Source organism: Homo sapiens, chromosome 4, assembly GCF_000001405.40.
Source record: "Homo sapiens chromosome 4, GRCh38.p14 Primary Assembly".
Classification (NCBI taxonomy): Eukaryota; Metazoa; Chordata; class Mammalia; order Primates; family Hominidae; genus Homo; species Homo sapiens.
This window is the reverse complement of record NC_000004.12, coordinates 40,863,084-40,876,743: the sequence shown is the minus strand read 5'-3', so window position 1 is coordinate 40,876,743 and position 13,660 is coordinate 40,863,084. Positions and strand designations below refer to the sequence as shown.

Sequence of the window (13,660 nt, the reverse complement as noted above, 5' to 3'; positions counted from 1 at the left end):
ATACAACAATGAAAAATAATACAAGTTTTTAAAAATAATATAACAATTATCTACATAGTTTTGCATTGTATTAGGTATTATAAGTAATCTAGAGATTAAAGTATACAGGAAGATGTGCATAGGTTATATGCAAATACTGTCCCATTTTATATAAGAGGCTTGAGCATCGTTGGGGGTCCTGGAACTAATTCCCTGCAGACACCAAGCGACAACGGTATATACAGCAACGTGCTGAATCTCACAATAATTGTGCTGAGTGAAAGAAGCCAGACCAGAAAAAAAGGTAGTGTGTGATTGCATTTATGTAAAATTCTATAAATGCAAGGTAAACTAATTTGTAGTGACAGAAGGCAGTTCAGTGATTACCTGGGAAAGGACAGAAGGCAGGGATTATAACGAGGCAGGAAGAATCTTTGAGAGTTACAGATATACTCATTATGTTGATGGTGGTAATAGTTTCACAGGTACATATTGTCAAAACTTATCAAATTGGATATTTTAAATATATGCAGTTTATTGTGTATCAATTATACTCAATAAGGTTGCTTAAAATAAAAGTTTTAAAATATGCAGTGAGTGCATGCCAAAGATTTATTTAACTCATGAGCTGGCTACCAACACCAGTTCAAAGGAACCTAAGAAAGGCTGAGAATCTTCTAAACCTGATAACCAAGCCACCAGGAAGCACTTGTGCTTTCAAGAATTTGAAAAGGTTTCAAAAAACCTCAAGCCAGGAAGAATCACACACATACACAAACACACATGTACTGCTGCCTAGACACAGCCTAATAAAACAGTTGAAACCAAAGGCATAACACAGATCATAACAGCAGCTAGAGGAAAAGAGAAAATACTAGAATAGATGACTAAGGTGGATACAAAACTGGTTAATGTTCTACTGGCAATGAAATCCTCACCTTTGGGGTTATTTTTTTTTTTCTTAGCAGAAAGTTGCAAACATTACTTGTAACATATTAATGTTCTACAAATTAACAACTACTCTCCCAGAGTCTGAGCCCTAATCACTAGCAAAGTCAGATAAAAATACATTTCCCTAGAGCTGGGCTGTTCATTTCGGTGATGGCCTTGAGCACTTGAAATGTAGCTGGTCTGAATTGAAATGTGCTGTAAAGTGTAAAATACATGCCAGAATTCACAAACATTGTATTAAAAAGATGTAAAATGTCTCATAACAATTTCATATTGATTACACATTGAAATGATAGTATTTTGGACATATTAGCTTAAATAAAATATTGAAATTAATTTCACTTCCATTTTCCAGTTGTTTAATGTGGCTACTAGAAAATTGTAAATTACTTAATGTGGCTTGCATTGTATTTCTGTTGAACGGGACTCCCCTAGTGAAGTAAGTAATCCTTAGGAGGGTCCATTAAGTGTTGCTCTACTGTGACATTGAAAGACACACTGTCCTCCTTTTGTCTTATTTCCAAGTGTTGGTTAATTTTTCTTAACTACTTCTTATACCTGTTTGTCCACCCCTGATCTTTAACTCCCATCTCTGTCTGTGTCCTTGACAATCAGCAACCCAAGTGATTTTTCTGATGGGTAAAAAGACATGACATGTTCCCTGCTGCTCAGGATGGAGCCAAACCCCACGATGTGACATGTCAGGTCTCACCCCTGCCTGCCCCCATCCCAGGCAGCACAGCTGAGCCAGGCACTTACCCAGCTGCACCGGACTGTGCCTTCACACACTTAACTACCAAAAATGTCACACAACAGCTCTGACTTGCACTGTGTGCCCTGCTTTTTGATTTTTTTTCTTTACTACTCTTTTAACTTTTAAAACGCTGTTTGTGACCACTGATTGGTCATAGTTTGAATAATACTGATCTCAGTCAAATTTTCTAAGAAGTTTTTGAGCTGAGCACTCTACCAGCTTAGTAACTGGTGTTTAAAGAAAAAGAGATTCCACACTCACATAATTTTGGGAAACACTGTATGCAATGTTCTATTCTCAGAGAAAGCCCCTAAAACACACCCTCAGCTGTTGAAGGGTCTGAGCTGTCCCGCAGTCAACACTAGATGAGCAGAAGACATATTATTGGCTTCATTAACGGCGAACCTTCAGAGGGCCAGCAGTTCTGGGACCCACCAGGTCAGAAAACACTGTTCTAGGGATTCTGAATGATAACATTGTATCAGGGGACAGGATAACAAAGCTAGAGTTTCAGACTTTCATTTACTTATCTCCACCCCCCGCCCTGCCCCCGCCTCCTGTGCCTTCTCTGAAAAGTGTTGTGTTCTTACGAACAGCACTTCCATTGCATTCAGTCAATACAGTTGTAAGTGATGATCCCAGGAAGGAAATCTCTACTTCTTTGGTAATATCATCCCTGAAGACGTCCTTTATATTGTTAAATTGCCCTTGGATAAAAAACTGAAATGCAGATTTCTTTTAGATTTCAGTATCTAGAAAATATTGTCTCTCAAAGGATATGCATGTAAGAATTTAGTTAACAGGGAAAATAGTATAGTTTATCATGTTTCCCTTTTTGCTAGGAAGTTTCAAGTTAAATTAAACCTGCAATTGCAGTAATTAAATCAGATAGAATCATATAACATTGCTGTTTTTGTGGATCAGAAATGGTTGAATGTGGTTCCAACTAATATTTCGCCTCGTTAATTTATAGAATTACTTTCTCTTCCTTATATTTGGCTTTAAATTTTACTTTTCTAAATTTAGAACATAATAGACTGTGTGTGCCTTTTATTGTAAGCCACTTAATTCTTTTGGGAAGGAAATAGGATATAAATTTTGATAAATAAACAGAGTTCAATTGTAATGCCCCATTAACCAATGAGTGTATAAAATACAGATTTTTTCTCTGACTTCTCTATTATTCAATAATTGGGAAATGCTATGCATTCTAAAACAGGAGTATTTTGCGGGTTTTTTCCCCCTGTAAAATCCCTAAGCAACTAAAAGAACACAAAGTTAAAAATCTATCCCTACAGCCAATTAATATTTATTGACCTATCCAAATGACACCCGTGGCCTTCCCCATTAATCAGAGAATAATAGTGCACAGAACCACCTCAGCCCTAAAGATACTTGCTTGCCAAACCAGTTTCCTCCACCACCAGCGATCTCATTGCGAAGAGTAGCAGCAATTCCTAAAAGCATTTTAGCTAGTGGACGGTGTGAAATTTCTTAATATATTTCCCCCACAAACTCAGTGGTCTAGCATAATTGTCTCAGCTCCTTCTTGCCTAAAGGAAATGTTCTGATTCATCTCTGTACAGCGTTGAGCTTAAGAGTTGCTTTGTCTTCTTCATTGACGTAAGAGAAGCTGTAGAAGTTATTTATTAAGAAAGATAAAACCTGATACTATTAATTAAATTCACTAAGTCAAGGATTGAAAATTAAGAGGGAAAATTTTTTTTAAATAAAAGATAAGGTTTAAATATGTCTACACTGTACAAATTAGAGTGCTTCTTAAAAAAGAGAGGAGATATAGATCTTAAGTTGTCAAATCTTGGGTCACTTCTAATCATAACATTGTCAGTCATTCTCTTAGGCCCCAGAACTGGTAGAGCAGATTATACCACAGAAGTATGCTAACCAGGGCAGGAGGATAGAAATGGCTGTCATCATCCATATACGGTACCATCTTTTTTTTTTTTTTTTTGAGATGGAGTCTCACTCTGTCGCCCAGGCTGGAGTACAGTGGCATGATCTCAGCTCACTGCAACCTCCGCCTCCTGTGTTCAAGCAGTTCTCCTGCCTCAGCCTCCCAAGTAGCCGGGATTACAGGCACGCAACACCACGCCCAGCTAATTTTTTTGTATTTGTAGTAGAGATGGGCATTCACCATGTTGGCCAGGCTGGTCTCGAACTCCTGACCTGAGGTGATCCACCCGCCTCAGCCTCCCAAAGTGCTGGGATTACAAGTGTGAACCACTGCACCCGGCGCCATCTTTTTTTTTTTTAACCTTTATCATTATAATTTAACCAGATTTCTTCCTGTGTATCTTACAGTGATCTGTAAAGTTGGCTTTCTTCATGTCCAAGGCCACATCATCCTCATTCCTAACTTGAGATGTCAAGCCGTAGAATTCCTTTTCTCCCTCCTTCTTCCTCTATTGATCCCATCTAGCTTTCTGGGGATTTATTGGATACCCATGTGTTAAGTCCCTAGCATGTGTCTGCCACCATGCTTGGCACCAAGGATGTAGCCATGAATGAGAACGCCATGGTTCTTGCCCTCATGGGATGTGCTAAGAGGAACAGACAGGTAATGACATGGGCTCATGAGTCCCATGAAGCACTTTCTAACATGACCGTCAAGCCCTATGCCAGTGTTATGTGACATCCCTATCCTTAGGACTTAGTGCAGGTCCCACCTGTTCTGTTAGCCTTTCTGTCACCGTTCGTGTCCTTCAGCACAGGCTAGGTTAGACTGTAATAACAACCAAAAATCTCAGTGGCTTATAACAATTCTTTCTGCTAAAAGTCCATGGTGGGTTGGCTGAAGACACGGCTTCCTTTGTCATTGTCCTCATTCTCTGTCTAAAGCTGATGATAAAGTCACAATCTAGACTACAATATTGGCAACAATGGTGGCAGAAGGAAAAGATGCGCTGACTGAACATTTCTGCTGGAAATGATGCTTAGCGCTTTTGCTCACATTTCATTGGCAAAGCAAGATGCGTAACTGCGCCTCACTTCAAGGGTTGGGGAAATATACGCCACCCCTACAAATGGGAGTGAATCTTCACAGCACACCATGCCCTGTGCTGTCTTTCAGCTCTGTAGTCATGCATATATTCATTGTACTAGATCTCTTCAACCTCGGGTTGTCACTAATGTCACAGATGTGTGTCTCCCTGGTTAGACTGTGAATTCCTTGACAGCCATCACCATATCTTAGATTTCCTTGTGTGTGCTTCAACATGATGTTATCCTTATATTAGATGCTTAAAAGTACTTTTGATTATCTGAAGGGGAGAATGAGGGGAGAATAATCAGAACTCTGTGCATGTTTTGACACAATGCTTTATGGTTTACTGAGGGTCTATCTCCATTAGTCCTTTCAGGACTACAGGGTGTAGCATTATGTCCCTTTTACAGATGAGGAAACTGAGACCTAGAACTTTTACACGACTTAATCAGTTTTATACAAAAATGTGGCTGAACCGTGTCTGAAACCATGAATTCTAAATTAATGGGTCAGTGTTCCTACTCCTTTTAGCTGTTAATATGGACACTCCAATTACCTTGTGCAGAGGCCCACATGAGGGAAGGAAGAGGAAACTTCAGAAAAGGAGTTGAGGCCGGGTGCGGTGGCTCATGCCTGTAATCCCAGCACTTTGGGAGGCCAAGGCGGGCGGATCACTTGAGGCCAGGAGTTCGAGACCAGCCTGGCCAACGTGGCAAAACCCCGTCTCTACTAAGAATACAAAAACTAACTGGGGATGATGGCTCTTGCCTGTAGTCCCAGCTACTCAGGAGTCTGAGGCGGGAGGATCGCCACTTGAACCCAGGAGGTGGAGGTTGCAGTGAGCCAAGACTGCAACATTGCCCTCTAGCCTGGGCAACAGAGTGAGACTCTGTCTCAAAAAAAATAAACGGGTGCGGGGTAGTAGGGTCTTCACAGATGTGATTAAGTTAAGGATTTTGACCTGAGGATATTATCCTGGATTACCTGAGTGGGACCTAAATCCAGTCATAAGTGTCCTTCTGAGAGACACTTACACATATATATATATGTATGGCTGGGCGCGGTGGTGGCTCACCCCTGTAATCCCGGCACTTTGGGAGGCCAAGGCGGGTAGATCCCCAGAGGTGGGGAGTTCATCTCTGCTAAATATACAAAATTAGCTGGGTGTGGTGTCATGCACCTGTTATCCCAGCTACTCGGGAGGCTGAGGCAGGAGAATCGCTTGAACCTGGGAGGCGGAGTTTGCAGTGAGCCGGGATCGTGCCACTGCACTCCAGCATGGGTGAGAGTGAGACTTGGTCTCCAAAAAAAAAAAAAAAAAGAGTGTGTATACACACACACACACATATATGTATATAATACCTATAAGGTAACATTTGCAGGTTCCAGGGATTAGGACCTGATTTCTTTGGGATATTTTTCAGCCTTCTACAGTTAGGGCAGTGGAAGCCCCTTCTGCTACCCAGCTTTGCTCCTCCATCTTCCTCACCCAGCTGTCTCTCCTCTAGGTGGTACAGATTATATGACTTCTTAAATGAAAGGGCTTTTGGAGTGAGGCACACCGGTTGGCTTCCTGATCTGCCTCTGTTAGCTGGCTGACCCTGAGCCAGTTACACACTGTGCCCCAGGGCCCTCTTGTGTAGAGATGGAAGCTTTGGAACCCCGATGCAGCTTGGTTGTAAGATATTAAATGGGAGAGGGCTTGGCACGGGTCCCTGTCCCCTGGTGAGCACTCAGAAGAGAATGTTGTCCCTCCCTCTGCGCTGCCCCTCACTCTGCCCTCCCTCATCTGCACTGGCAGTGGTGGGCACAGTGGGCTGGAGGCAGAGGAGGCTGCTTGTTGAGATTCCTGGAGCATTTCCTCCCATTTATTTTTCTTAGTGAAGTCAAAAACAGACAAATGTTTATTAAATAATGAATCATTCTTTCCTAGAAGGATTATTTCATTTCATGGGTGAGCGGTTTATTGCCAGAGAATGATGTCTTCCCCCAAAATGATGTATAACGTGATTTGGTACCTAAGTTTTTAGACACTTGAATGTTTTTTCTCTCTTCCATTTAAACTTGAAGGTTGTGAAATGTAGTCCATATTCATTCATACTCTGTTCATTTCAGGAGATACCCACAAGCAGAATGGGGTGACTGGGGCCTGCTTTGACCTCATATTTTCCTATTTCTACAGGAATATATAGAATATTTACTAAATACTAGGTATTTAGTAATAAATACCACAAGCCTTCCTAGGTAATAAGCCTGTTAAGAAAAGTAAGCAATTATATAATTGGCAAAGAAATTAATACAAAGATCTAAACCAAGAAATATCAAAGTCTTTTATTCTTAGAATTTTTTTCATTTCACGTATATTCCTTGTCTGCCTTCAGAATCTAAAATTCTGGCCCACTTTGTTTATAGAGCGGTCCCTTTAGACATTTGCCTTATTTTTAGGCCTCTTTTATTTTTTTTCTTTGGAGACAGGGTCTCACCCCTTCACCCAGGCTGGAGTACAGTGGCAGGATCATAGCTCACTGCAGCCTGGATCTCCTGGGCTTAAGTGATCCTCCCACCTCAGCCTCCAGAGTAGCTGGGATTACAGGCACATGCCACTTCGCCCAGTTAATTAAAAAAAAAAAATCATATTGATGGGGTCTTGCTATATTGCCCAGACTAGTCTCAAACTCCTGGCCTCAACTGATCCTCCTACCTCACTCAGCCTCCCAAAGTGCTGGGATTACAGTTGTGGGCCACTGTGCCCAGCCCATTTTAATCCTAGGGCTAGGATTATTTGCCATTACCACACACTGTTGATTATTATAGCTATATATGCAGCTTTAAAATTGGATACACTGATTCATTCTACTTTATTCTTCTGTTTACAGGCAGGTGCCTGTAATCCCAGCTACTCAGGAGTCTGAGGCAGGAGAATCACTTGAACCCGGGAGGTGGAGATTGCAGTGAGCCAAGATCTCACCACTGCACTCCAGCCTGGGCGACAGAGCAAGACTCTGTCTCAAAGAAGAAAAAAAAAATAGAAAGGTGGTGTGGGGACAAATCGAGGTAACACATGTATAAGAAATAAATATTATTGATCTTTTAGTAGTTCGTAAGCATGGTGATTGGCTTTTCATGTGCATGTGTGAAATGTGCCTTCCACAAACCTTGTTACAAAGTTGGCACACTACCATTGATGTGAAAGAAAAAAGTTATTAAAATAAGAGGTCCTTGATGGCAAAAATAATAAAATGGCTCTTTGGTGGTTAAAAGGACCAATTTGGTCCAATCTCAACTCTTTAAATAAAAAGGAATTTTGCTTGAGGTAAGTAATTTAGTTCCTTTGTGGAAAGTTCTTTGACTTCTAAGATGATTCAGAGTTTGGAATTACTGATTTAGTCTTCTGACTGTATCAGGAGTCTTTAAATATACATTTTCAATTCAATTAATAAGTCATGAGTTCAGTTAATTTATCATCAGTGCAATCAGAAACCATCAAAGTAGACTGAGTTGCCAGCCTTTACTTCTGGCTAATCCTGACACATTTCACATGTCATGGATTCCTGAAATTCTGAAGCTGAGATTGCTAATGGTTCAGATTGGTTACTGGATCATTGTGTTCCTAAAGAAAAATTATACAGCTCGCTTCAATGATGCAGTTTCCCCTCTTTTCCTCAAAAAATTTTCTATATGAGAGAAGAAAGCAGAATCTATGGTCCAGTAAAGCAGTGATGCTCAAATCCAAGTGCATGTCAGAATCCACTGTGGGTCTTTTTCAAACAAAGCTGGCTTTGCCCCAGCCTCAGTGGTTCTGATTAATTCAGTAGGTCTGGGGTGGAGCCTGAGAATTTGCATTTCTACTAAGTTCCCAAGTGACACTAATTCTGTCTGTGGACCATACTTTAAAAACCAGCTGGGTGTGGTGGCTCACCCTGTAATGCCAACACTTGGGGAGGCTGACATGGGAGGATTGCTTGAGGCCAGAATTTCAAGACCAGCCTGGGCAGCATAGCAAGACCCCATCTCTAAAAAAAAAAAATAGCCAGGCACGGTATACCTGTAGACCTAACTACTCAGGAGGCTGAAAATTTAGAGCCCCTTTCAAGACCCTAGGAGGAGGGCTAGCAATTAGATCACATGGTTTATATAAAATGATTTTGCAAAAGGAAGATAAATTTTGTATTCTTAAAAAAAAAAAAAAAAGCCCCAGAAATTGTCTAAGCTTTAGGTCCCACAAAACCTAGATCAGCTCCCTGATAATTGATCAATATAATTAACTAATATATATGAAAGGAATACAGACTGTAAGCAAGAGAAGTTTTTTGTAGGCTAAGCAGTCTCTAAGTCCCAGGAATGAGAGTACATGGGAACGTCATCTCAGAGAACAGGAGCCCCATATGTGAACTTTGTGTGGAACTTTAATTGAATGAGCTCAATGGAGAATTTAGGCGGATGAAAATTCAAGTTGATCTTCACTCACCTACTAAATGATCAGCTTGCTATGTGTGATGTATCAATTTATTTGTGACAAGATCAGACAATTTGGAGAATGAGACAGGTTCAAATTTTGGCTTCACCTCTTATAATTGAGTTCACTCATTCCCTCTGAGCCTATTTTGTTTACAAAAAGGGGGTTGATAATAATAATAGCTAATTTAATAGGGCTAATGGGGTGCTATAGTGAAATGATAGATATGAAAAATGCTCTGAAGATAGAAAATGCTGCACAGATGTTAGTAGCTATACAAAGCTAACAAATAGTATACTCATCGTTTATATTAATAGAATGACTAAAAGGTCATTCTGCTGGAGAAGGAGTCAGTCGACTTTTTCTGCAAAAGACCAGACAGTAAATAGGCTTTGTAGGTCATGCTGTGTCTGCCATGGTAGGCAAAAGCACCTACAGACACGATATAAATGAATGTGCATGGCTGTGTTCCAATAAAGCTTTTATTTGTAAAAGCAGGTACAAAAATGGTGATACACTAAAATTGATCTAAAAGGACACTGTCGGCCGTGCATGGTGGCTCATGCCTGTAATCTCAACATTTTGGGAGGCCGAGGCAGGCAGATCAGTTGAGGTCAGGAGTTCGAGACCAGCCTGACCAACATAGTGAAACCCCATCTCTGCACGGGAAACTGCACAGTTCAGTGCTTTTGTATTCTACTAAAAATACAAAAAATTAGCCAGGCATGGTGGCGCACACCTGTAATCCTAGCTACTCAGGAGGCTGAGGCAGGAGAATTGCTTGAACCTGGGAGGTGGAGGTTTCAGTGAGTAGAGATCGTACCACTGCACTCCAGCCTGGGTGACAGAGCGAGACTCTGTCTCAAAAATAAAATAAAATAATAAAAGGACACTATAAAATAATAAAAGTCCCTTCAAATTAGGAACTTCCAGTTGAATCCGAAGATAAAACAAATAACAGCAACCATATATGATGTTTTTATTTAAACTCAACACTGAAGGATCAAAATTATATCGGCCTCAGTTTCTGTGGCCTTCTAATGTAGCTGATATCTCTTTAGGGCATGAGGGCACATAGGTGGAATAGGAAAAGCAAAGTGAGGAGGAAGAGGGAGGCAAGATTAAGAACAGTTGAGGGTGAAAATAGCAGCTTGTTTCTTTTTATGCTTCTTGCCACTGGAAGTAACGATCATCGGGTAAGCTCCTGCTTAAACCCTCCTCTGGGATTCAGCCTCAACAGTAAGCTCCTGAGCATGGAGTTTCGTGACCACCAAGAAAGTAAAGTGCTTCTATTTTGTAATCTCCTAGTGAATTTTTAAAGATGACTGATGGTGTCCAGGCCTGTGAACATGGAAAACTGAGGTAAACCCATCAAGAGACAGTTGCCCATCCATCTTAAAAGGCAAGTTAATCATGAACCATGAATAAAGCCGCTGTAATCATTCACATACAGGTTTTTGTGTGAACAGAAGTGTTCACTCATCTTGGGTAAATACGTAAGAGTGGGATCACTGGGTTGTAGGGTGACAGCACGCTTAAGTTTATGAGAAACTGCCAGCCCGCTTTCTGAGGAGGTGCACCGTTTTGCATTCGCAACAGCAAAGTAAGAAAGTTCAGTTGCTCCGCATCCTCACCAGCAGTTGGCATTGCCAGGATTTTTTGGTTTGTTTGTTTGAGGGTGGTGGTGGTTATTTTAGCATTCTAAAATGTGTGAAGTGGTGATTCATTGTGGTTTTAATCGGCATTTTCCAAACAAATGATGTTCAGCATGTTTCATGTGCTTGTGAAAAACATTTATCTTCTTTGGTGACGTATCTGTTCAGATGTTATTGCCCATTTAAAAAATTGTGTTGTTTGTTTTCTTATTATCGACTTTATTCATAGTTGCCAAAACTGGAAAGAGTAAAATACCTATCAACTGGTAGATGGATACACAAACTCTTGTACATCCATGCAAAGGAATTCTCAGCAATAAAAAGGAATGCACTGTTGATACACTCAACAATTATGCTAAGTGAAGGAAGCAAGGTTCAGAAAGCTAGGTATTACAGGACCCCCTTTTTATGACATTTTGGAAAAGGCAAAACTGCAGGGACAGAAATCAGATCATTGGTGGACTGGCAGTGAGGGAAAATTCTTACTTATTTTTAAAGAACTTCTCTTGTCTTCACTCCTTAGCCCTTACTGTCTTACTCTCCTAACCCTACCTTCCCAGCCATGGGTTTAGTATCTGTTTCAGCTTGAGTTTCTGATGCAGAAACACAAATGTGATTTTCTCAAATTACAATCATGGAACTTGCCAGACAGCCAGCTTTTTCCTTGGCCCTCCGTGACTGTGTGTCCCTGTGCATGCAGTACCCCTGTCCTTGCAATTCTGCTTTCCAGGGAGAGCAAGCCAGGGCGTTGAGTGGGGAGATGGTTGAACATTTTAAGAATTGAAAGGACCAGGCGTGGTGGCTCACACCTGTAATTCCAGCACTTTGGGAGACCAAAGTGGATGGATCACTTGAGGTTAGGAGTTCGAGACCAGCCTGACCAACATGGTAAAACCCGTCTCTATTAAAAATACAAAAATTAGCTAGACATGGTGGCACATGCCTGTAATCCCAGCTACTCGGGAGGCTGAGATGGGAGAATTGCTTGAACCCAGGAGGCAGAGGTTGCAGTGAACCAAGATTGCACTACTACCCTCCAGCCTGGGTGACAGAGTGAGACCCTGTCTCTAAAAAAAAAAAAAAAAAAAAAAGAATCAAACGTTGTGCTGACTCCCTTAGGATTCTGAACCATGGAGGATAACAATTTATGCTCACCCTCGCTACACCCTGCAGCAGTTAGGAAGAAGAGATCTGGTGGGTGGTGGGTGGTGGGAAGATAAGTCAAATCTCTTTATAGTACAGTGAAGGCCAGGGAATGGCCCGCAGTCTTTGGAGTAGTGGGAGGTTTTTTCTGCTGAATATTGCATAAAGAAAATGAGCTATGCTGCCTGCCTAGGGCTTCGGAATCTCTTCCACTTAACAAAGATTCTTGTTATACACATTTATTATAAATAGCCTTTGCATTTTACAGGGCAGAACAGGAAGACTCCAGGCCATTGGGCAGGAGAATTTCTTTTGTTTTTTTTCCAAAATTTTTGTTAGAGTTGAGTTAAAGAGATACTGTGGCAATCCCTTTTAGATAAAGGGCACATCCTTACGTGAGTGCAAGCTAAGCGTCTGCTGTGACTGATGTCTTGTGGGGCAGTGGGGTCTTTCTTTTACAAATATACGTTATAGAGTCCTCCAGGAGCAATAATCAGGTACACAGTGGTTTTTTTGTTTTGTTTTGTTTTGTTTTGTTTTGTTTTTATTGAGACGGAGTCTCACTCTGTCGCCAGGCTGGAATGCAGTGGCACAATCTCAGCTCACTCCAACCTCTACCTTCCCGGTTCAAGCAATTCTCCTGCCTCAGCCTCCCAAGTAGCTGAGATTACTCGGCGCCACCACACCCAGCTAATATTTGTATTTGTCATAGTGATGGGGTTTCACTATGTTGGCTAGGATGGTCTCTATCTCTTGACCTCCTGATCCACCTGCCTTGGCTTCCTAAAGTGCTGGGATTACAGGCGTGAGCCACTGCACCCAGCCTACATGGTGCTTTAAAAGAAGTTGGGAATGTTACTGTTAGTCCACAACTCCCTGGCTTGCTTTTTTTTTTTTTTTTTTTTTTTTTGAGACAGTCTCCCTCTGTCACCCAGGCTGGAGTGCAGTGGTGTGATCTCAGCTCACTACAACCTCTGCCTTTCGGGTTCAAGTGAATTCTCATGCCTCAGCCTCCTGAGTAGCTGGGATTACTGGCGTGCACCATCACAACCGGCTAATTTTTGCATTTTTCGTAGAAACAGGGTTTCACCATGTTGGCCAGGCTGGCCTCGAACTCCTGACCTCAAATGATCTGTCCACATCAGCCTCCCAAAGTGCTGGGATTACAGGTGTGAGCCACCGCACCTGGCCTCCCTGGCTTTCATTGTCCAAGCTCATTGAAAATCTTTTATGCTGCTCATTTGTCCGTGTGATCATGGTTTAGATGATTCACGTATGGATTCTTGCTATTCAAAGTGGAGCCTCTGAATAAGAACTTGGGCATCACCTGGGATGTAGTTTTTAGAACGACAGGGCCCTACCCAGACCCACTGAATCAGAACCTGCAGACCCACTGAATCAGAACAAGTCCTCAGACAATGCATTTGCACATTGAAGTTTGAAAGGCATTGATCTACCTTAAGGTCCTGCCAAAACATCCCGCCTGCTCTGTTGATAACCTTGTTGTGATATGACCCTCAGAAATGTACCCATGGTGAATGCTTCTGACATCCACATAGCTGTGAGTATAGATGCATGCCACTTTGTCCCGAATGTACTTCATTATTAAGTGCTTAGTGCTGAGCTGGGCACAAAAGATACAAAAACAAGTAAAGCATGGTTGCTGCCTTCAAGGAGCTCAGAATGCAGTGCGGGACACAGAAAGAGCTGCAGCATCC

General features: G+C 41.6%; 1 protein-coding gene and 1 non-coding gene across 52 annotated transcripts in view; both read left to right on the top strand.

Moving 5' to 3' along the window:
* The window catches only part of APBB2 (amyloid beta precursor protein binding family B member 2), a 404,516-nt gene that overhangs the window by 337,799 nt on the left and 53,057 nt on the right, over nt 1-13,660 (top strand). The window lies entirely within an intron of this gene.
* LOC124900907 (small nucleolar RNA U13) lies at nt 7,774-7,880 on the top strand. Its single transcript, XR_007058549.1, has one exon. It is a non-coding gene; the product is annotated as a small nucleolar RNA U13 (small nucleolar RNA).